This window comes from Homo sapiens, chromosome 11 (assembly GCF_000001405.40).
Source record: "Homo sapiens chromosome 11, GRCh38.p14 Primary Assembly".
NCBI classification, from domain to species: Eukaryota; Metazoa; Chordata; class Mammalia; order Primates; family Hominidae; genus Homo; species Homo sapiens.
The window spans coordinates 92808991-92832621 of record NC_000011.10 but is presented as its reverse complement, the minus strand read 5'-3'; the positions used below and the strand labels follow the sequence as shown (position 1 = coordinate 92832621).

The 23631-nt window shown below is 41.9% G+C and overlaps 1 protein-coding gene across 11 annotated transcripts in view, besides 1 other annotated feature; it reads right to left on the bottom strand.

Annotated features, from left to right (window-relative positions):
* FAT3 (FAT atypical cadherin 3) overlaps positions 1–23631 on the bottom strand; it is a 671656-nt gene that overhangs the window by 63852 nt on the left and 584173 nt on the right. For all 11 annotated transcript variants that reach the window (XM_017017179.3, XM_017017178.3, XM_017017180.2 and 8 more), the window contains 2 exons: positions 22546–22779; positions 611–1000 (listed from right to left, as the gene is read on the bottom strand). In XM_017017179.3, coding sequence (XP_016872668.1) covers positions 611–1000; positions 22546–22779 — 624 coding nt within the window. The remainder of the gene's footprint in view (positions 1–610; positions 1001–22545; positions 22780–23631) is intronic.
* Positions 11261–11856: an enhancer, noted in NCBI's record as "OCT4-NANOG hESC enhancer chr11:92553932-92554527 (GRCh37/hg19 assembly coordinates)". NCBI's record gives its function as "activates a minimal SCP1, AML or CMV promoter by ChIP-STARR-seq in primed H9 embryonic stem cells {active_cell/tissue: H9 hESC(primed)}" and the evidence as "EXISTENCE:reporter gene assay evidence [ECO:0000049][PMID:30033119]".

Sequence of the window (23631 nt, the reverse complement as noted above, 5' to 3'; positions counted from 1 at the left end):
ACCACATTGCTGCCCCTGAGCCCTCCCACCTAGAAATCCTGGAGCCAACCTGGGGGTCAGATATTTGCTAAGTAAGCCCACAACAAGGAGCTTAAAATTTAGCAGGAGCCATCTTTAGAAGCTGGAGGGCACTCTGTGGTCTGAATGTGGGCCCTGCTAACAGATTTGTTTCCTCTGTGAAGGAGGTAGGAGGAGGAAAAAGAGTCCACCAAGAAGGGCTGGCAGAGTGTTTTCGGGAGAAGCAGGATATAGTGAAGTCCTGCATTCTTACTATTATTATTTTTTTTGGACACAGTCTTCCCCTGCTGCCCAGGCTGCAGTGCAATGGCAGGAATGTTGCTCACTAGAGCCTCTAGCTCCTGGGCTCAAGTAATTCTCCCATCTCAACGTCCCAAGCAGTAGGGACCACAGGTGCATACCACCATGCTTGGCTAATATATTTTTTTAAATTTTTGTAGAGACAGGGTCTCACTCTGTTGTCCAGGCTAGTCCTGAACTCCTGGACTCACTCGATCTTCTTGCCTCAGCCTCCCAAAGTGCTAGGTTTACAGGTGTGAGCCACCGTGCCAAGCTGAAGCTCTGTATTCTAAGTACAGTGCTATTTACCCACCTGTCTTGGGGTTGATCTTAAATTTCCCTTGTTCGTTCCCAGACCGGATGAGATAAGTGATCTCAGCATTTGTGCCAATATCTTTGCTGGTGGCAAAAACAGCAAGGACTTGGGTGCCAGGGGAGGTGTCCTCAGGCACCGTCACCAGGTAGTCCCTCCTCTCAAACACAGGGGGGTTGTCATTAATGTCCAGAACGGTGATGGTGACAGTAGTGAGAGAGGACAGGGACTGTCCAGGACTCTGGTCAGTGGCCCGCACGCTGATGTTGTACGAAGACTGCTGCTCACGGTCCAGTGGCTGCTCCAGGATGATGATGCCAGATGAGCTGTCAATGGAGAAGACCCCACCAGCTGAGTCTGCCAGGGAGTACACGACCTTCCTATTGATGCCTGTGGGAGAGACACAGGAAAATGAGTGGGCAAGAACATGGCCAGATGATCTGCACTAGAATGTTACAGCTTTGCAGACTTTTGAAGGGCCACAACAAGAAAAATAGTTATTACAGAAACAGACAGCTGTGGCTCTACAAAAATGTAAATTTCAGTTTATGGGAAAAAAAAGACAATGGAATTAAAAGGCAAAGAAACTGGGAAAATACTGGCAACAAATATCAGAAATAGTTGGATATTCTTAATATACAACTCGCCCCCCACAAATCTTTAAGAAAAACTGTGAGGCTAATAGATGCAGGGGTAAAGATGTGGCACAGAAAGAGAAATAGAAACCAACCAAAACCAATTAATTAATTAATTACTTCAACACAGATGTATTTAGAATCTACCAGGCACTTTCTAGGGGCTTGAGGGTCTAGCAATGGGCAAGTCCAACATTTCTTGAAGAGATTTTACATTATAGTGGGGCTGTAGTGGTGGTGAGGGGGAAGCCACTGGTGAGCTGTGAGATGGGAGTCATGAGATGTGATGTAGATTTTAACAGGATCCCTCTGGCTTCTGCTCCTGAACAGATGGAAGGGCAGCCAGAGAGGAAGGAGGGAGACCAGTCAGCAGCCTCCTACAGCAACATAAGCACGTGATCTTGGCGGCCTGAACAAGGCAGATGGTGTCGGAAGTGGTGAGAAGGGGTCAGGTTCCACATCTATTCTAAGCACCCAGGTGGTGAGAAATGAAGGGTTCCTGGATGTATTCTGAACTTGGAGGTGGCGAGAGTGTTTTCTGATTGTGGAGCTGGCAGGATACAGGATGTGAGAGAAACAGAGGCTTCTAGAATGACCCTTAGGTTTTGGCCTGAGCAATTGGAAAGAGGGGGTTGTCATTAGCTGAGATGGGGAGGGCTGCAGAAAGACTAGGTTTTGAATGCAGAAGCCCTATTCTGGACAGATTAAGTGTGAGATGTGCATTTGATATTCAAGTGCAGATGTCAAGCAGGAAGTTAGATAGAAGAGGCTGCAGTTCAGAGGAGAGGGCCAAGCTGGAGCCATAAATTTGAGTGTCATTGGTGTACAGATGTCATGCAAAGCCATGCAAATGAATGAGGTCATAAGGGATTATAGAGGGAAAAAAAGAAATCTAAGGGTCAGTGAGCCTGGAATACTCCATCAAGGAAGGGAGAGGATCTAGTCCAAGGGTGCTCTCCTGCTCTACGATTTCAAGAAATGTACCTAGTTACCAAAATACCATTTTATGTTACTATGTACTAAAGCTAAAACATACAAACTAGGAAATGTCTATTAACAACCAATTAATTATTGAATAACGGTTGGATTGACTTCTACTTCTGAATATTGATTTAACTGGTTTCATTAGAGGATTTCAGCACTTCAAAACAGTTTAGAAACCTCATGTTCACTTTAGTTGTTTGTTAGGATTTATAAGAAGTAAATTGTAACAGCTTTGTGGGCTGAAAAAGCACCATTCTGATCCTAAATACCCTTAAAGAAGACGGTCATTAGTCAGAGGTCTTTAGTTATGACAACCATCTGAAAATGTCTTTTGAGAATTGTGGAACCATAGAATATAAGCTCTTAGAGGGGAGGGCTTAGACATTTTTTTTTTCTTATTATAACACCTCATTTGGCAATAATAAGAGCTAAACATTTTACTTTCCCAATGTACAATTTCCCTTAAGCCCAAGTTCCCAGCAAACCAATAAAATCATATATCTTGAGGGATGACATAAATTGCATTATGTGGCTTTAACCAAAAGGTCAACACTGAGAGCCTGTTCTTGGTTCCATTCCAGAGAGTCCATTTTTTCCAAAGTTTCATCATTTACTTTTATTTCTTTTTCAAAACAACTGCCCTGTGATGTATACACATCAACCTGTGATTTTATTGATGCTGGGATTAAAAATAAGAAAGCTTTCCTCTTCTCTTGCTGTCTCCTTGAAATAAGGCTTCAGAGCAGACATTTAGGGGTGCTTTCTGGCTATTGTTGGAGTGGCTGCAAGATTAAATTCTTCAACATGAATTCCTGAGGTGAATACACACACGGGTTGCATAGGTGATCAAGCTTGCACCTGGAAAACAATGGCCCTGTCTGGGTGTCAGAATAGGTTGTGTGCCCCGGAAGCTGCCTTCACTGATTCAGTGGTCTCAGGATGCCTCTCCAAGTCACAAAAATGCATTTATGGAAACACATCAGCGATTGACATAAATACAGCACACAGGTTTTCAAATCACACACATTCCCTACAGAATTAACTTCCACCTCCAGCATATGGTACGCTGCTCTTGCCAATAAGAAGTGCAGGCATGAAATTCATGCAGGGACTTCCATTAGTGCATGTGCTGGGAACTACAAAATCCATTTCACTGATGCATTAACCAAGGACTTGCCTGGTGCAACCAGCATTTTTAGGTAGGCATGAGGAACAACATGCAAAGTCCTGTTTTCCTTAGGCTCTTTGCCCAATCTCCTTAGGGATTTCAGGAGATCTATGCTTGGAAATTTTTCCTTTTCAGGCCTGAAGATCAGTTATGGAAGAAGGTAATTTCTGACACACTGTTCTGAAGGCCACAGTGCTGTGAACAGATGAGTGAGGAGAGGTAGGGGCTGGATTTGCACGCTGCCGCTCTCCGCAGCAGCAAGGCCAGAAGGGAAGGTGCTTTTAATGGATGCCTGTGTTTCCTTCACTGAGACACAAAGCTGAAATCTAATTCTATCACCTCTGTTCCAGGCCTGCAGCCTTCTCTTCAGCCCTGTTTAGAGGCACTCATCTGGGCTCTGATCCCCTAGGCAGGAGATTCTGCATTCTCCAAGCTTCCTGCTCAGCTGACTAGCCCTGTTGTTGGAGTGCTGCGTTTACAGGACTGACATTAATCAGCCACACAAAGACCATGGCTCCCCTCCGGGCAGATTCTGTTAATTTTAACTCCATGACAGGGTTTTTCTGCTTTACCATAGCAGAAAACCATCCCTTCCCCCTGCAAGTTGCTGACCCACACTCCCCCCACCTCCTCATACATTTTCCTTCTGACAATATCTTGGGCATTCACACCAGGAGGAACTGGAAGATATATTGTTCCTCTCTTCTTTCTGTTACCAATCAGACTGATAAGGAAGCATAACCAGAAAGGGGTGGGGGAGACCCAGGACAAAAAACCTGCTAAATGGCATCACTTAGGATTTGCTACCTCTCAAGAAAAGAGCAGGATATATTTTTGTAGCATATTAAACCTCCAATTTAGACACAATTGCAATGGATTTCAATAAGTTTTAGAAATAAAGTCAGAAGCATAGTCGCCAATTTGGAAATAGTATTTTTGGGATAGCATTTGGGTCTTTGCCATGTTCCTGGGCAATGGGGTGCCATCTTTATAAGGAATGCAGGTCATGTTGCTAAAGTGGACACTTTTTATCCAAAGGGATTTGATAAATGCCATCCTTCAAATTGCTATCCCTTTCTACATACACAGCAGAAATGATGAACCCAAGCAGAAGACTTGCTTGCTAATTGGTCTAATGCTCCTACTGCATGTCATGATGTGTTACATTAAGGTATAACATTAATCCATCATTTTGCCTCTGTGTTTTTAACTATGTAATTCTCTTCTCCAATTTGAGCCTAATTTAATGAGGATGGAGATACTTAGCTTCTTTAAATGCTGAAATGCCAGGTTACCAAGAGAAGTGTGACTTTCATTGCAAGTGAGGTTTCTGCATGTTATCTGTGGCAAATGGAGCAGACAGGCCTTCAGAGAATTGAAATCAAGGAAAAGGAGAATGATTAAAATCCCTTTTGCTCAAAGAAAGTAATAGGTAGTGGCAATTTGTGGAGTGGGATAGGAGAAAGAAAATAGCACATACAAATTCCTAGTAGGGAAGGCTGTGAAATTCAGGAATGGGTTGTGAAAGACATCTATATTCTGCCTCTCGGAAGGTTTATAAATGGAGTCCATGTTCCTCTCAATGGGCCAAATGGAAAGTTGGACTTTTTGGACGTGGGACTGTACATAAAAGTCAGTTTAAAATGCATTAAAATGAAGGCAATGTGGTCTAGTACTGGAAGACAGGGGACTTTACCTCTAGGCCACAGCCTGCCCAAACTACACAAGTGTCCTTGGGCAAGTCACTTCGTTTCCCTGGGTCTGCATTTCTAGAGTGGCAGAACCCTGGTCAGTTGAGGTCTAAGATTATTTTCCAGCACTATGACTCCTTTCCAAGTTAAATAAAGGGAGTTGGTTTCATTTCTATTTCCAGTGGATGCTCCCTGCAACTGCTCATTAAGTTGCTGGACCTGGGCCTAAGTGGGCCAGAATCAACAAAGGAAAAATCCACATTCAGCTGGATCATGACAAGCTATTAGAATCTTCAGGATGGAAGGAAAAGTTAACACAGCAGATTCATACCATTCGGTTAAATGCTCAGAATTCACACATACAGCTTACAGTTATACAGGTCCTTACACTTCAGTGAGAAATAACCCCCAGTGAGAGGATCATCCCTGGGGATCTAACCTACCAGGTGCCAGAATAACTTAGTTTTAAATCTGAGATTGCTAAAGGTGTTAAAATCAGCACTGAAACCAAATGGCAAGAGTCACCAACACAGCATATACACTGAGCTGTTTTTGATCTGGTCTTTAAAAAGTATTTTCTCTCCTCCTCCTAAGATCAGGATCCCTAAACTTAAGGAACCAGAAAGAGCTATGTTCTGCCTGGTTTGGTGTCTTGTGCTGGCAGCTGCCCTGACTTCTCTGCAGGGTCTTGTCTCTGACATTCACTCCTATGTCTCTCATTGCCTGCACGGGATCTAGCCTGCAGGTGGCACACAAAAAATGTGGGTTGCACTAAGTTGCAGTAAACTGGTTTTTACAAAGGGATTTAAACTTCAAAGGAGCAAGTATCTTGGGAAGAAATAATGTGAAGCAATTTCAACAATCATATTTTAGTAACACTTTTAATGTGGGTTCTAATCTCTAATTTTTATATTAACTTTATTGAGGTGTCATAATCACATATCATAACATTAGTACATTTTAAGTCTCTACCTCATACATTCTGACAAATGTCTACCTTCATGGATCCACTGCCCTCATCAAGATCTAGAACATTTCAATCCCTGTTTAGGTTCCTTCTTGTCCTGTTGCAGTTAGTTTCTCAATCCCATGCTGCAGGCTATCTAATAAGTTGGTTTTGAGCCAACACTTTCTCCTGGCTTTATTAATACGTATTCATCAGTGCTTGAAATACCACAAGTATGTTTAGATTTCAGTCTTTATGACCCAGGCTTGGTGATTAACTCATGCTCTTATTTAAACTGTAAGAATTATCCTTTGAAGAAAAATGATCAACAAAGCTTGGGTTCTTGACTATGTCACTGCATTCCTTTGCCATGGCCTTATTCTTAAAAGACAGTGTTTTGTTTCTTTTGAGAAGTGGAAGGTTTCTGTCTTTCTTGCAGGAGACACAGGCTATGACACTTCCATTTAATAAGGACTTGCCAAGTGCCACCTGTCTGCTTGACTACTCTAGGCATTGACTTGAGAGTAAGTGGAGTCCCAAAGACATGATCCCTAACTCTGGAAGCTTAGCAACTTGGTGAAGAATTATTTGAACTGGACATAGTAGTTTAGAGGTTTACTTTTCTGCATGTCACCTTCTAACTTCCTCTCTCACATAAATTGGAATGCTGGGTTGTTTTGATTCTGCCTCTGAGATATCTCTTGAATGTCTTGTGGCCAGGTGAGGCTCTCATTCTCTCTTGCCTAGACTGCCTTAAGGGACTCCTAATTGCAAACTGCAGCAGAGTTGATACCCTGTCCTCTAAACTTAACCAGTGTTAAGTTTCTAAAATTCTGGATCCAGGCTTGCCCCAGCTTCTCAGACAGTAACTGACTTCCAACTTCCTACAAACAGAAGCAAAAACTTTTGAGAATGGCATTCTAGTCCTTTGCAATCTGGTCCCAACCCCCCTTTCCAGTGTCATTTCCAGCTCCACTTCCATCCTGTACTGTCTACCCCAGTGCTGCCTGAAGGCCCCCCACACATCTCCTTCCCTGGTCTGCATTTGTGCTTTGCCCTCTTCTCCGAATGTTCTCTTACCTCTTTCTCTTGTCAAAATCCTACATATGCTTTGCAGGGTCTCCTCTGGAACAGCTTCCTTAATTTCCTCAGTTATTTCCTCCTCTGTGTTCCCTTAATGTTATTTTTGCCTCTATTTTTTGCATTATCATTAGTTATATGCATATCCCCTCTCCCAGTAGATTAATGTACCTTTTAGGTAAAGGAACTGTGTCTTATTATCTTTGAACCCCAATACTGAGCACAGACCCTGGCACATAGAGAGCAATGAATGTTGAACCGCAGAAGAAACAACTAGGGGACCAAAGCAAGTATACGTTCCTGCTAACATAACATATGCAGGTGATGCACACAGTACACATATATGTCCATTGCAAATGCATGTGCTGAAAGAATTAAATAACCTTGAAAAAGGACAATGTGGAAAAAACTGCTTTCTTTTATTAAGGAACATTTAGTTTTTTAATATTTAACAATGTATATAAAACATTCATATACATACACAAAGCTTCTGCTAAATAGATGTTTGCATTTGTGAAAAAAAACTGGTACTTACCCAATTTTCCAACAATGAGGACTGGTTGAATCCATCATCCCACGGTCATATGATGTATATAGAATACTATGTACAATGTCACAATAAAGATGTAAAAGAATATATAATGGCATAGAAATATAGTTGCAGGTCATCAAAAAAGCAAGTTACAAAATAATATCTAGTTTATGAGCCTAGTTTTGTGGAAAAAAAAAAGGCAGAAGGGATTTCTATCAAAGTGGTAACCATGGTTAAAAATGACTTGTTTTCTTTTTTGTTTACCCTTCTAGGTTAAGAGCATGTTTGTAAACACACACTATGTTTGTAATAAATAAAAGAACTATTATAAAAATTATGTACATGAGAAATAATTCTTTAATATCAATTTTGGAGTGCAATCAAATACTCAATTTATTTTGCAGGCCAGTTTAATTGTCAACATCCATACCACTCGAAAATGCAGAAAAGATACATATTGTATAGGCTACTTTTTCTGGATATTTCTATTCTCCATTATAGTTTGTCTTCAGAAAGACACTGGCTTTACTTAGAAAATCACTTTTGTCAAGGTCTCATTATAAAGTTATTTAAAGAAATGTGATTTAAAAATGATTTTCTTTCTTTCTTTCTTTTTTTTGAGACAGAGTCTCACTCTGTCACCCAGGCTGGAGTGCAGTGGTGTGATCTCAGCTCACTGAAACCTCTGCCTCCTGGGTTCAAGCGTTTCTCCTGCCTCAGCCTCCGGAGTAGCTGGGATTACAGGCACACACCACCATGCCCGGCTAATTTTTGTATTTTTAGTAGAGATGGGGTTTCACTATGTTGGCCAGGCTGGTCTCAAACTCCTGACCTCAGGTGATCCACCCACCTCAGCCTCCCAAAGTGTTGGGATTACAGGGGTGAGCCACCACACCCAGCCTTAAAAATGATTTTCATACTTAAATTAAGCAAACAAAATGGCTAGCCTAAAATTCTTCTCTCATTCTCTGTGGAAGGCAAATAAAATCCCACTACAATGAAACAGCTTAAATTAATGGCTCCTTTTTCCTCTGTTTGAAATATGCCTGTGGATAATATGAAATAAAACAGGAAGTTGCCATGAAGAGGCCCATGGAATTAGCAATTACTTTTTCAGTTGGCAATTAATTTTAAATAGACTCCCTAATTACTTCTGTTTTAAGTGCCTTTTAAAAGTTCTTCATTGGGTGATGACTAAAACTGGCACATTCCCATGGGCAGAATACCAGCTCCTGGGGTCAGTCAGTAGCCCCTCGGTTTTTTGAAGTCAAAAAACACAGAAGGTAACATCAGTCACAGAGTCCAGGAGACCCTGATGACTGCACCAAAAATCTGTTGAGGACTTCCCAATTGGGCTGGCTGTAGCTCTGCTGGGTAGGAGCAACAACATGATTGTGGGCTCCCATGCAAAATAAAAATACAGGGACTCTTGTTTAAACAGTATTAAGACACTCAACACAAGCCAGAAGAGAGCACTAAGTGAAACACAGGGCCCTTCTAAGCAAGGAGTTCTGTTTGACTGCACACCTATAAAACTGGCCCCATTGCTGGATAAGACTATAGTTATACCTTCTGTGATACCTAAAAAGCTGCAGCTTATCTGGGTTAAACTTTTTCAACTATCTATGGCTTGGCATGAAGCTACACCTGGGATGATTAAGTGTAAGTAAACTAATTCATCAACTAAATACTCAAAACTCCATGTTTATTGGTACATGGAATGTCTGTGCTGGATAGCTACCCAACGATCATGCAACGGGTTTTCTATATGGGCCACTAAGTGTGACCACTGGATCCATTCATTCATTCATCCAAGAAATACTTAACTCCTGCTGCATGGCAGGCACTGGGGATACAAAGAAGGATGGCTCCCACCACTTATGTGCTCTCAAACGGCTCTCATTTCTCAGGAGACAAGCATGTATAGAGTTGATTGTTGGAGAGGGGTGGTCAAGGGAAGTTTCTCAGAGAAGAAAACAAATGGATTGAGTCCTGAAGGAAAGATAGGAGTTGTCAGTAGCAAAATAAGGTGGAAGAGTGACAAGAAGAAAGGGCATTACAAATGGTGAGAACATGTGTGAAGTTAACAATGCTGAAATTGCAAGGTATACTCAGAGAAGGATAAATGGTTCAGCATTGTTAAATCCCTAAGTTTACAACAGTAGAAGCTGAAACTGTCTATTTTCAGAGGCAACTGCAAGTTACCAGAGGTGTTATAACCAATTATAGTTAGCATAAACTAGAAACTGGGCCTAAGTTAATGGATAAATTAGCAGAAAGAGAAAAAGAAAGATTGGAAGGAGCAAGGTGGAGAGGATGCGTGGGTGGAAAGTGTTTTGTAATATGTGAGAAGTTATTAAAAGAGCTTACGAGCAGATGATGGACAACATAATCGTGCCTGTCAAGGAGGCCTCACAAGGTGAAGTGGTAGGATGTATCCTGCAGCAAAGCTGATAAGCACATTTCACAAAGCCTCAACATGCCCTGGAGAGGCAGGGAGTCAAAGCTTGGGGTCCTTGGATTTTCTGCAGAAAATGCCCAGGGGTGGATGGAGATTTTCCTAGCTATATTAGTACTGCCTTAAATCCGTCCTCTGCATTGCCGAGTGTTCGATCCAGACTGATCCAAATTAGCAGTTCAGAGGCTTTTTTTTTTTTTAACCAACCTGTGGCGTCTACAAATGAGGTAGCACATGAGTGAGGGAGCTTCTGCGAAAGAACCACTATGATCAACTGATATGGGTCAGAATTCCCTGCTAATGGGGGACTGTGCTAAAACACTTGCTTAAGATACCTCCTTTTTGGAAGGAATTAGCTGTTTCCTTTGACAGCTAGTGTTTTGATCCCTGTTTGGAAGAAACTGGATGTTTAAAAGGGTAATGATAACAAGAACTTACGTGTGTCAAAGGCAAAAACTTCTAAATAGGGAAAGGCATTATAATCAACTGCAGAGAAAAAAAAAATGTCCAGCTCTCTCCCAGACTTTCTAAATCAGGTTCTGGAGATGGAGCCCTTGCTTGTTTGTTTGTTTAGCCTGTTTATTTTTAAAAACTCTCCAGAGGATTCTGACACAGAAATCGTAGAGTGTCATGGCCCTGCATCTGGTTGCAGACACTGTAGAAGGTGTCCTAACACTGGTAGGAGGTAAATAATTCAGGGAGGGGTTTATGGAGCCCAGAGCCCTTTGCTCAGATCACTCCATTTAACAGATGCCTTGGGAGGGGCCACTTAACGTTTTTGAACCTTAATTTCTCCATCTATAGGTGGGAGCATCCAGATCTGTTCATTCCCTGGTAACATCACATGCGTGTTTTTGGAGCTTTCTAGAGAAAGACTTAAAACAGAAGATGATATTTTTGATATCTACAACAGACAAAAGGCTTTGACCACAGTGTACTCCAGAAAATGACTTATGTTTTTCAGTCTGTAGGGAGGATTATTTAATTTTTACTGACATTTTAATAGTCCCTTAGCCACCTTCAAAGATTCAACACTTCGGAGAATAACAGCTTTGGGGAAGGGGGTAAAATACATTAAATCAGTGACCTATGCAGGTTAGAAATAACAATATCTAAGGCAGTAGGAAAAACAAAGAATAGATGCTACTTAAGAGAAAACAGGCTGAAATCAGAATAGAATCAATCTCTTTCAAAACATTTTCTTGTAGAAATTACTGGAGTATACAAAAAAGCATTAGGCTGAAGTGATGATAATCTCCTTTTCAATCCAGCTTTGCCACTAATTAAGTCATCTTGGGAAAGTCTCTTTGTCTCTGGACCTCAGGATTTGACTGGATTTTGTCTCAGGGTCTTTTCAGTGGTAACATCCTAAGATCTAATAGGATGGCATTTCCATAAGAAGTGGACCTAGTGCCCCATGGAAGGCCCATGAATCCATGAGAATAGCAACAAGGAGCAGCCAATAGCTTTCCACCATCACTCATCCCTGCCTATGTCAAATAGCTGTGCTCCCAACACAGATGCACTGCTCCTTCCCAAGGTGGGCCCTGTTTTAATTGCCATTGATCTGCACAAGAGCCCTTGTTCCTTGGAGAGTAGAACCTGTGAAAAGATAATGGCTATGATCAGGGAATCTTAAGGATGTGTGGATAGACTTGAAGATGCCCATGAACTTGCATTAGTATACTAGTTCTCTCTTGTTCCATGCTAAATTGCCCCAGAACTTAACAGCATAACAAAACAAATATTTATTATTTCATGGTTTCTATGGATCAGGAATCCAGGCATTTTTTAGCTGGTTATCTATGGCTCAGCATTTCTCTTGAGGTTGCAGTCAAGCTGTCAGGCAGGGCTGCAGTCTCATCTGGAAGCTCAAATGGAGGTTGGAGGGTGGGTCCATTTTCAAGAGCAGTTGTTGATAGACCTTGACCCCTCACCATGTGAGCCTCTCTCAGGGCTGCCTCACAATACCACAGCTGTCTTCCCCTGGGGCAAGTGATCCCACAGACAGTAGGAAAGAGTGTTATAGACTGAATTGTGATCTCCCAAAATTCATATGTTGAGGCCCTAATCTCCACTGAGACTGCTTTGGAGATAAGGCTTTTAGGAGGCAATTAATGTTAAATGAGGTCTTAAGGGTGGGGTCCTAATGTGATAGGATTAGTGACCCATAAGAAGAGAAGAAAGACAGATCTCTCTACATCCAGGTGCACCTAGGAAAGGCCATGTGAACACAATGGGAGAAGGAGCTGTCTACAAACCAAGGAGAGAGCCCTGGACAAAACCTGACCAATGCTGACACCCTGAACTTAAATTCCCAGACTCCAGAACTGTGAGAAAGTAAATGTTTGTTGTTTAAGTCATCCAGTCTCAGGTACTTCGTTATGGCAGTCTGAGCAGACTAATACAGAAAGCATTGTCAAGATGGATGCCACAGTCTTCTTATAACCTAATCTCTGAAGTGATATCATCACTTCTGCTATATCCTGTTCATTAGATGTGAGTCAGTAAGTCCAGCCCACTCTCAAGGGAAGGGGTGTGAATATCAGGAAGTGGGGAATCACTGGGGTTATCTTAGAGGCTGCTACCATAACGGAGGAATATTGGCATCTTTATTTTCATTAACCTCTAACTGGCTTTAGTGTCACATTCTACAATAAATGTAGGCAACAAGTCACTGTGGTATGAACAGCACCTGTGGTTTTGTAACCAGTATAAATCAGATATTTTCTTATTATTTTATGGTTGTTGTACCTGCCTCTACTTACCACTACTTTGAAATATGGGAGTTATTAGACCTACTGCACTAGATTTTGTTATTTAATATATAAAAAGAAATTCACATTACTATACAACAACTTAAAAAATGCTTGGACAAAACTATTTTATTTGTAACTTTTTGTATTTTATTTTATGAGATGTAAAATATTATTCTGAGAGGTGATCCACAGGTATTACCAAACTGTTAAGGCGTTTGTGACACAAAAATATTAAGAATCCCTAAGCAAGTGATATTCAAAGTGTGGTTCTGGGAACAGCAGCATCAACATCACCTGGGAACTAGTCTGAAACGCAAATTATCAGGAGGTTCCTTCCCTGACCTACTGAGTCAGAAACTCTGGCGGAGGGACCCAGCAATCTGTTCAAATACACCCTCGAGGTGGCTCTTATGCTCACTGAAGTTTGAGAACCACTGATCTAGAGTCTTATTCAGAAATTGCATTTTCCACAAGCTCCCAGGTGATACTGAGACTGTTGGTCCAGACTTTTTGAGTACCACTGTCCTACCCTTGACTATAGCATCACTATTAATTGAATGTCTGTTAACCAACCCTCCTGTGGCCCCTATCATGTTGTCTGCAGCCCTGCAACTAACTAGCTGTGGCTCAGGGCAAGTTACTTAACCCCTCAGAGTTTATTCATATATTAAATAGAATGAAAAAGTACGCTAACTTGCAGGGCTATTATGAGAAATGGGAATAATGTATCTAAGGCACTTGGCGCAGTGCCTGAAGTGGAGCAGAAGCTCTGAAAGCAGATGTTATTAGCCATATTATGATTATCATTTAAAATTCTTATTAAGTAACTGAGCTTGCCTAGGAGGGTCCAAGACTAGTAGAGAAGAAACGTGCATGCAGCTCTCTGTCGGGATAATCAGGACATGCGCAGGAGCTCAGAACAGGGAGGTCTAACTCCAGAGAAGGAAAATGTGGCCTTACAAGTTCAAAGTGCTTTTCATTCAGTCTTGGGCCAATCTCACACTGATGCTTTGAGGTCGGCAAAGGGAACATTACTGTCATTCTTACATTACAGAAGAGGAAACTAAAGGCTCGGAGAAGCTGAAGACTTGCCCCAGGTCACTAATCATCAGAGCTTTCCCCATGCTCTTGTGAGCTCTTGATCAATCCAGTTACTAGATGTGTTTCTTGGGTACATTTGGGGATATCCCTGTGACCTGATCTCCAGGGTCTGGAGAAACCCAGGGGTGCTGTCTCAGCTGAGGGATGAGGCTGCGAGGAAGCTGTCTACTTAGAAAATCCTAAAAGGGAGAAATGGCAGGATGTTTGCATGCCTCCACTATGGAAGACACGGACAGAGCCAGTTTCTTCCAGATGCCACAGACTGCCCCTTCTCTCTGTCCCACACACTCACATACTGATGCCAGTGAAAAAGGATGCTTCAGGATTCACCTCTTCTGTCAGATGTGCCTCTTTTTTTTTTTGCTTTTGAGGCACAGTGCAAAGGTAGTATATTTAGTAAAGTCCCTTATAGACTGGAGTTTTAGAGAGTAAATGCTGAATGTATATTGTTTTCCTTGTTTGTTTTCCTTCGGGAAATCAGAAGGCTGACGATAGAAGATTTGACATCAAACACCATCACAGAGAGTTGGAACTTTGCTTTGGCTATCAAATTTAAAGTGGAGTGTCTAGGGCTGCAGGTATAGACAAGCATTTTTGATTCTTACAGATTGGTTTGAGCAACACTTCCTCAGACTCTGTCCCAAGAAGATACAGGAAACTGAGAACCCAGGGCATGTGAGATGCTTTTCCACTAGAGTTGCAGCATCTCGTCCACATTTCCAGTGGACTTTTGTCACCTCCAAGCTTTTCTTCCTAAGTCTCGGTTAATGGCTCTCAAAAAGTGGCAGACAAAAAAGGCGAGATGTGTCAGAAGAGGCAGGAAAACCACTGGAGAGATTCACTGAAGGTGGTTTGGTCAGAAAAATCTCCATCTAACAATCGTTAGTGGTCACTTTCATGCACATTCCTCTCAAATAAATACATTCCTCCTTCATAGGCAGCTATGCTGTCAGGGCAAATGGTGCCCCATGACCCTGGGCCAGCCCTGTACTTCCTCTGAAAAGAGCTTTGCTTTGGAAAACCCAGTTCATTCCAGTATCTTCCCTCTGAGAGCAAAGTGCAGGGTTCAAGACGCTATCTCTCTCATGAAATACTCACTAAACAAATTCCCAACATAGACAGCAAGCTTACACCATTATTAGTGAATGCCAGCACAAAATGGAGGAAGCTGAGGACAGCTGAGATACACACTCGGGGCAAAACAGGGAAGCTCTATCAAAAGATAAGTTCTCTTAGTGTCTTTCCAATTTTCTGTTAATATGAGGATCAAACTATTAACTTTAGGGGAAAGGCAGTATTCTGGAAGACTCAGAATTTTTCATATTTTCTATTAATGCAATTTACTGATTGGGACCACTGCCCATTCATGTATTAAATAATCTGGCACCTACAGAGCCCTCACTGGGTGAGATGTTCTCTTCTTCATTTCTTACTGACTCCCGCTCACCTTTCCCCTCACCCTGAAACAAACTCCTGCATCTCCTCAGGGCACTCAGCCCAGCTGCTGCCCTGCTTATCTCAGATGGCAGTCCCTTCCTGTATAGAGACATCCGAGGGCATGTGTGTGCCTCTCAGTGGGTTTCCTTAGCATCTCCCTTTGAGCATCTTCCTTTGTGTTTCAATTTTCCCTTTCTGCCTCTCTTTCCTTTTACTTCTTTTTTATTTTTGTTTTGATTTTTTTTGAGATGGAGTCTCACTCTGTCACCTGGGCTGGAATGCAGTGGGGTGATCTCGGCTCACTGCAACCTCCACCTCCTTGGCTCAAGTGATTCTCCTGCCTCAGCCTCCCGAGTAGCTGGGATTACAGGCGCACGTCACCACACCTGGCTAATTTTTGTATTTTTAGTAGAGATGGGGTTTTACCATGTTGGTCAGGCTGGTCTTGAACTACTGACCTGAAGTGATCTGCCCGCCTCCGCCTCCCAAAGTGCTGGGATTACAGGCATGAGCCACCACACCCAGCTCTTTCCTTTTACTTCTAAAGCCAAGTGGTCCCTCCACACCCTTGAGGCTAACTTTCCCTGCTCATGAGTGATGTCACCTTCTCTGACCTCTTTGGGACCCACTGTGGCAGTTGTTCTTTCCTGCTTTCATCATTGCAGCAGAGGTAATGAGTGCTCACCAAGTCTCCCCAGTCCTCCCCTATGTGTCCCTGCTCCTGTGCAGGTGGGCCAGCCTGAGGGACTCCTTCTGGGCAGTGGATAGTGGTGGAGTGATGTGGTCTCTCCCAGGCTGAGGCAGCTGACAGCTGGCATGCTGCCTTCATCTCTCTCTTCCCCTCTGCTGTGACCTTGGAAGCCAAAGGTCAGAAGGTGGAGATGACAGGATGGAGGGACCAGATTTCTGAGTCACTAGATAGACTCGCACTGACCTGTCCTTCACCTGGGCAAGAAATAAGCTTTTGCTTTGCTAAGCCACTCAGACTTCCTACAAATGATCTCAGTCTTGCCAAGCCTGTCCTGGCTAACACTCATCTTTCCATCTATCTGTCTCTCTGTCTCACTCCTCTGTCTATCTCCATCCAAGTTCAAGTCCCAACTCTTAGCATTTTGGTAAGTGCTAATACCATTTGGTGAATCCTTCCTGAGTTGTCCCAGTTGAAAATTCATTGCTTACATTGTAATGTTCCCACATGGACCTATGTAGCATTTTACATGTGCTATCTGACCAATCCTTACAAAATCATTAGTTTTACAGATGTGACTTTATTACCACATTCTTCATTGTTTTCTTGGAATCTTGTTGTGCAAATCTGTTTCTCCCTATGACTGTAAACCCCTTGAAGGCAAGACTGTCACGATGAGCAAACATGTCTTTATTCCTGACTTCCTTCTGGAGGTTCACACTTGAATTCCCAATGTGTCCCCATGTTTCATCTTCCTCTCCATGCCAGGTGGTACTGTTGACCGTCTATGCTACTTCTGCTCATGCAGCACCTTCACCTGGTGCCCATGTTTGAAATTTTGACTAAATAGCCTACCTTGCTTTTAGTCTAGTCAGTTGCCAAAATCTACAGATTTCACATCTGAAATCTCAATCTGGCTTTCACCAGCTCCTTATTTATTTATTTACTTGGTTTTTTTTTGAGATGGAGTCTCGCTCTGTCTCCCAGGCTGGAGTGCGGTGGCGTGATCTCTGCTCACAGCAAGCTCTGCCTTCTGGGTTCATGCCATTCTCCTGCCTCAGCCTCCCAAGTAGCTGGGACTACAGGTGCCCACTGCCACGCCCGGCGAATTTTTTGTATTTTTAGTAGAGACAGGGTTTCACTGTGTTAGCCAGGATGGTCTCGATCTCCTGACCTTGTGATCTGCCCTCCTCAGCCTCCAAAGTGCTGGGATTACAGGTGTGAGCCACCGTGCCCAGCCCACCAGCTCCTTATTTTTAAATCTCAAAGCCACCACTCTCATTTTGGCCCTTATTGTTTTTCTTAATACACTCCTAGGAGCTTTCCTAGTCCCTGGTTTTCCTTGTTCCAATTCATTTCAGAAGCTCCTATCAGATTAGCATCCCCCAAACTCCAAATTCATTATTTCTTTTCTCAAATGTGCTCAATGGTTCATTTCCATCTGTTTAATTAAGTGGCCTTCACAAACAACCACAATCAGGCCCGGTCTACTTTTCCTATCTCATTAATCTCTCCTCCCTCTTGGACTACATGATGTTCTCTCAACTATTTAGTTGGGTCCACACTTTCCCAACTTCCTGGCTCCTATCTTCCTGAATGTGTTCCTACCCCTGACTGTGGAAATCCTATTCATTCTGGGAAATTTGCTCTTTTAAAATTTTACTTTAAGTTCTGGGATACATGTGCAGAACGTGTAGGTTTGTTACACAGGTATATATGTGCCATGGTGGTTTGCTGCACCTATCAACCCATCATCTAGCTTTCAATTCCCACATGCATTAGGTATTTGTCCTGATGTTCTTCCTCCCCTTGTCCCCTACACTCCAACAGGCCCCAGTGTGTAATGTTCCCCTCCCTGTGTCCATGTGTTATTAACGGTATGTGTGTTCCCTTTAACAACTATTCATTTTACTACTATTCACCCTTTAACTTCCCTTTTTTTATAAATGTTGGGTCATGAAGTCATGTCACCAGTTTATGGGGGCAAAGATATTTCCAATTGACAGGAAAACTAAGAACTTCATGCTAAAATCTAGAGAGTTGCCACGGTATTTCTTAGAACTCATAAAATAGGTGTAAAATTATCTTGTCCTCTTCTGTTTTTATTTTATTCCTGACCCAGGCAATGACTCTAACAATAATGTTAGTTCATTATAAGTGATTCATAGAAAAAGAGTTGTTTGGCTAAAAGCAATAATATATTTTAAATTTCTTAAATCAGGATATGAAGGTTTAGCAAGTCACAGAGTCAGATTTCAGATTATATCCTTGTCTTTTCTCTGCAATTCATAATGAACGGTATATTTTGTAGTCAATCGCTGGCTGTCTTAATCTGTTTGGGCTATAAAAAATACCTGAGACTTCGTAATTTATAAACAACAGAAATTTATTGCTCATAGTTCTGGAGGCTGGGAAGTCCAAGATCAAGGCACCAGCAGATTTGGTGTTGGTGGGGGCACGTTCTATTTGAAATGGGCCTCCACCAGACACTAGATGTTCTTGCATGACAGAAGAGAAGAACAGGCTCCCTGAAGCCTCTTTTATAAGGGCACTGAAGAGCCCTCAGGACCTAATCACCTCCCAAAGGATGCATCTCTTAATATGGACACATGAGGAATTAGGTTCCAACGTATGAATTTTAGAGGGACACAAATTTCAGATCATAGCACTGGTGGAATAATTTACAACTTCTGGTAAAGCAATGTGCTTAACCAAAGAAGTTTCATGAATCAAATATGCCTGTCATTTACACAAATGTAGCCAATGATCTTCAGCAGGATCAAAAACCAATTAGACAACTTGGATGAATCTTAAGAGAATTATGCTGAGTGAAAAAATAAGACCAATCTCAAAAGGTTACAAACTATATAATTTAACTTAAATAGCATTTTTGAAATAAGAGAATTATAGATATGGAAGTCAGTGGTTGTCAGGGGTTAGGGATTGGGAAGCAGGTGCAGGGAGTGGGTGGGTGTGGCTCCAAAGGGGCAGCAAGTGGGAGGCGTGTGATGTATGAATGTGGTGCTTAAATGAAGCTGCACAGGTGATAACATTGCATAGAAATATATACAGGCAAACACCCTGAAATTTGAATAAACTCTGTGGATTGTACCAAGATCAATTTCCTAGCTCTGATGGTTTACTATAGTTAAGCAAGATGTTACCAGTGGGAGAAGGGCTGGGTGAAGGGGCACTTGAATTCCCTATATATTATTTTGCAACTTCCTGTGAACCTGTAATTATTTCAAAATAAAAAGCTTAAAAATAAGACCTTTCCTTGTCATTCTAGAGAAGGATCTGCAAACGAGGTCAGGAGGTAACACAAGTATATTAGTCCGTTCTCATGCTGCTAATAAAGATATACCGGAGACTGGGTAATTTATAAAGGGAAAAGGTTTAATTGACTCACAGTTCTGCATGGCTAGAGAGGCCTCAGGAAACTTACAATCACAGCAGAAGGTCAAAGGGAAGCAAACACATCCTTTTTCACATGATGGCAGAAAGGGGAAGTGCCAAACAAAAGGGGGAAAAGCCCCTCATAAAACCATCAGGTCTCATGAGAACTCACTCACTATCATGAGAACAGCATGAGGATAACCGCCCCCATGATTAAATTACCTCCCACCAGGTGTCTCCCACGACACATGGGGATTATGGAAACTACAATTCAAGATATGATTTGGGTGGGGTCACAGCCAAACCATATCAATAAGCAAGTAAAGTGGCTAGCAGGAGGCAAGGTTAGTGCTGTGGCCAGTGTCAAGGATGCAGTTGCTCTTTAGCTCCTGCCATGTGGGACCTGTGTACCTGGAATTGCAGGGCCTTCTGAGTGCTGTTGTTTTTATAAAATGCTGGAAATCTAAATTTCTAATAAAATTCTGACTTTTAAATATTAACAGCTATTATAAGTTTTTTTTTCTTTCCTTGTTTCCTTCTTTCTTTTTTTTTTTTGAGATGGAGTCTTGCTCTGTTGCCCAGGCTGGAGTGCACTGGCACAATATTGGCTCACTGCAACCTCCGCCTCCCGGGTTCAAGCAATTCTTCTGCCTCAGCTTCCCGAGTAGCTGGGACTACAGGCGTAGTACCACCATGCCTGGCTAATTTTTGTATTTTTAGTAGAGATGGGGTTTCACCATATTGGCCGGGCTGGTCATGAACTCCTGACCTCGTGATCCGCCCACTTCGGCCTCTCTTTTGAACACTATAGAGGCCAAACTAGAAAGCCAGATTTGTGTGCAATGGCTATTGATGTGCAAACTCAGCTTCCAGACAGAGGTTCAGTTTGGCTCCAAGATAAATTCTACCTTCAACAACCTGGTAATCTTAGTGCACAGCTCACACTGGTTTGTAATCTCTTAGGAAACGGAGAAATTGTCACTTTTGAGGCAGTAAGTGTTCTGATCAGGCCACTAATGAAAATTAGTGTACCAATCATTGATACCCAGGGATTCTGAAGAATGTCAGCATTCATTTGATTGCAGCTCAGACTGACGCTGCTGCAACTGGAATCTCCTGTCTACTCTGACCAAGACCTTCACAACCACTTCGTCAGTATGCTGGCTAAGGCACAGTAGGTGCTCAGTCTGTGTTGTTAGAAATATTCATTGGTTCTTCCTCAGCTGTCTTAGTTCTTTTACATTTTAAAGCTAAAAGAAATCTACAAAAACTGAGAAAATGAACTAAAATCTGGTATCTTATGCCACAGTTTTCCTGTGGCTGATGCAATGGCCTGGTGAGTATACTTTATACATAGATGCCAGCAGCACCCCTATAATCTCTGTCTCTATTTGAAGCTTTGAATATAAGCTCTTACTCATTAGCAAAAAATGAGTAGATCAAGGTACTGGTAAGATCCTCATTCCAGTTTTGGTTCCTTAAAGTCTTTATCATCTCTGCCCTGTTAAATGCCTAGAATCTAGACATTCCTTCCTCCCCAACTCCCAACCTGGCCATCTGACTCAAAATAAGTGAAAGGAGGACATAGTATGTTCTTCACAACTTGCAAAACAGCTCCAAGCACACCGTCTGTGAGTCAGTAACACCCCACTCCACCCCCTCATGTTTCAAAAAACACCATGTGCACTAATCAGACGTCCATGTCCAGTCTAGTAGCCTGGGTACACTCAATTCCTTCATGGAGTGTGGAGAAAAATTCCAATCTTTCAGCTTTTAAAATATCATCTATGGCCTAATTATACATTCTCAAAATCAAATTTAAAATGATTAAGTGATTCATTTCCATTAATTCTGTTCTCTTTCCCCAAAGTCATCTGCTAATAAGAGTCCAGAGAATGTTTTCTAATCCTCCTTTAAAAAAGAGACTATTTGTAGGTATTACATAAATATATATCAATAAGAGGTCTTTCTTGTTTACCATTTTTCACAAAGCTCTTTAATATGTAGACTTTTAAAGGGTTGGTTCTCAGCCTTGAAAATTATGCTAATGAGGTAACAGCAATAATTCAAATTGTAGCCACTAATTTCTCTAAGGGAAAATATGCAGAGGCCCCAGGCTCTACGTTTGTTTTCAACTAATTATCATGTATTTACTTTTCCATTAGTCCAATAATTTTTCTTTCAATTCAGAATTAAGCAATATGACACTGAATTATATAAAGGTCTGTTTAGCATAGCAGACACACCTCATCATTTCCTAGTACTCTGATTTACAGCTCTTAAAATGCACAACCGAGAAGCTGTCTATATGCCCTTTTGTATTTATATTCCATCATGCAGTCACCTCAATAACTTATGCATTCTCAGAAGGTCTACCTAGCAATTAACTCCAGTCTTTTCTAACTCACCATCTCATTATGTAAAGTGGATCTGAGCATAAACTTTATTAGCAACTTTCAATTCTAATTCCTTATCTCCCCCACCCCCACTCTGTCAAACAATGTCAGTTTATATGTGACAAAAATGCTTTGTAAAATGGCAGTTTAAAAAATCCACGTTGGACTGGCAGCACATTTAGTAATTAGTCTTTGCACTACGGGGCACTATATTAAATCGAGATTGTCATATTTCAGCTAAAGCATGTGACCGAGTTCTTCATAGACATGGAAACAAATCAAATTCTCCTTGCTTCACAACATAGCCTTTTGACTATGTTTAGGAGGAAAAGACAATGAGGAAATCTATCATTTTTATTCAAAAGGTCAAAATCTAAAAACAACAAAACAAAACCCAAACAAACCAACCCAAACTCCTTTGCTAAAAGGTAAAAGACTTCTTAGTATCTCTTCTTCAAACTCGAGAAAGAGGAGGGCCAACTTGCAGACTTTTCTCATGCATATGAAGTGTATTAGCTGAATAGCTGAAATGGGGTTTAATGTACATGTTCTCGTGGTAAAGAACCAAGGGGGTTGATTAAGGTTCTTATAAAACTAAAGGAATGGCAGCACCTGAAGACAAAGTGTCCACTGTGTGACAGGGAGATGCCTGCAACTGACTTACCAATGTCGGGGTCCACGGCTTGAACTCTGGTCAACAGAGCCTTGGTGGCTGTGTTCTCATAGACACAGGTGTTGTAGTGGTCAGAAGAAAACACAGGGGGGTTATCATTCACATCCTCCAGGATTAGGTGGATGTTGGACTGGCAGAACCTGCCACCCCCGTCAGTGGCCTTGGCCATCAGGCTGTACACGGGGATCCTCTCCCGGTCCAACAGAGCCAAGGTTTTTAACTCGCCTGTGAAAATAAATGGCAGCATGATTGGTCTGAGTTTTTAAAAACTGTCTTTCTTTGGAGAGCAGAGGACCAATTATACAAACAATTCTCAACATAGGAAGGACTAACATCATTTGGCCCAAGTGTCCCATACTTTAAAAATGTAGCAAATTCAACAGTTTATGTGTCAGGGAAAAATGTATGGGATTCTAGATGCAAAAACAAAACAGCTGTGTGACCTTCAAATTAATTAATCCCTTTTTGAAACCGCTGGTATAAGGGGCTCTTTCTTTTGGCTACACGGAGAAGCTTCAAACCTCTTTAAACCTCTCAAGATCTACTCTGGAGATCAGTCTCTGGATTTCTGCTATATGTCCAGAAAACACACAGAGAATGGACTGGTATATCTGGTTCTCTGATGGTCAATATTGTCAACAACCCATAGACCCAGAAAGGCAGTCTCTTTGCCTCCAGATACTCAACTTTTTGCTCTATCATTTACAGGAAAACAGGTAATGAAAACAGAAGCTGGCTTTAGCGGGGCAGGGTCTTGAAGGACCCCTATTGTGTAAGGGTTAACCCTTAACTTGCTGGATTGTGGAAGGGCCTGACATTGCTTGGGGAGGAGTCAAGTCGGAGAAAACTTGAGGAGCATGGAAAAGCAGTTCCTTAGCATCCCGCGTGGAGTAATGTTATGTCTATATTTTAACCACTGGAATAGCTGCATTGGTGCTGGAAACCAGCTTTTGTGGAGATATTTTTGTTGTTTAAGTTTCATAAGATAATGACAACAAGCACAGTGACAAACCTGAATAAATGTTATTTGGTGGAAAGTATGACTCATGAAATATTATCAATCTTAAATAAAATTAG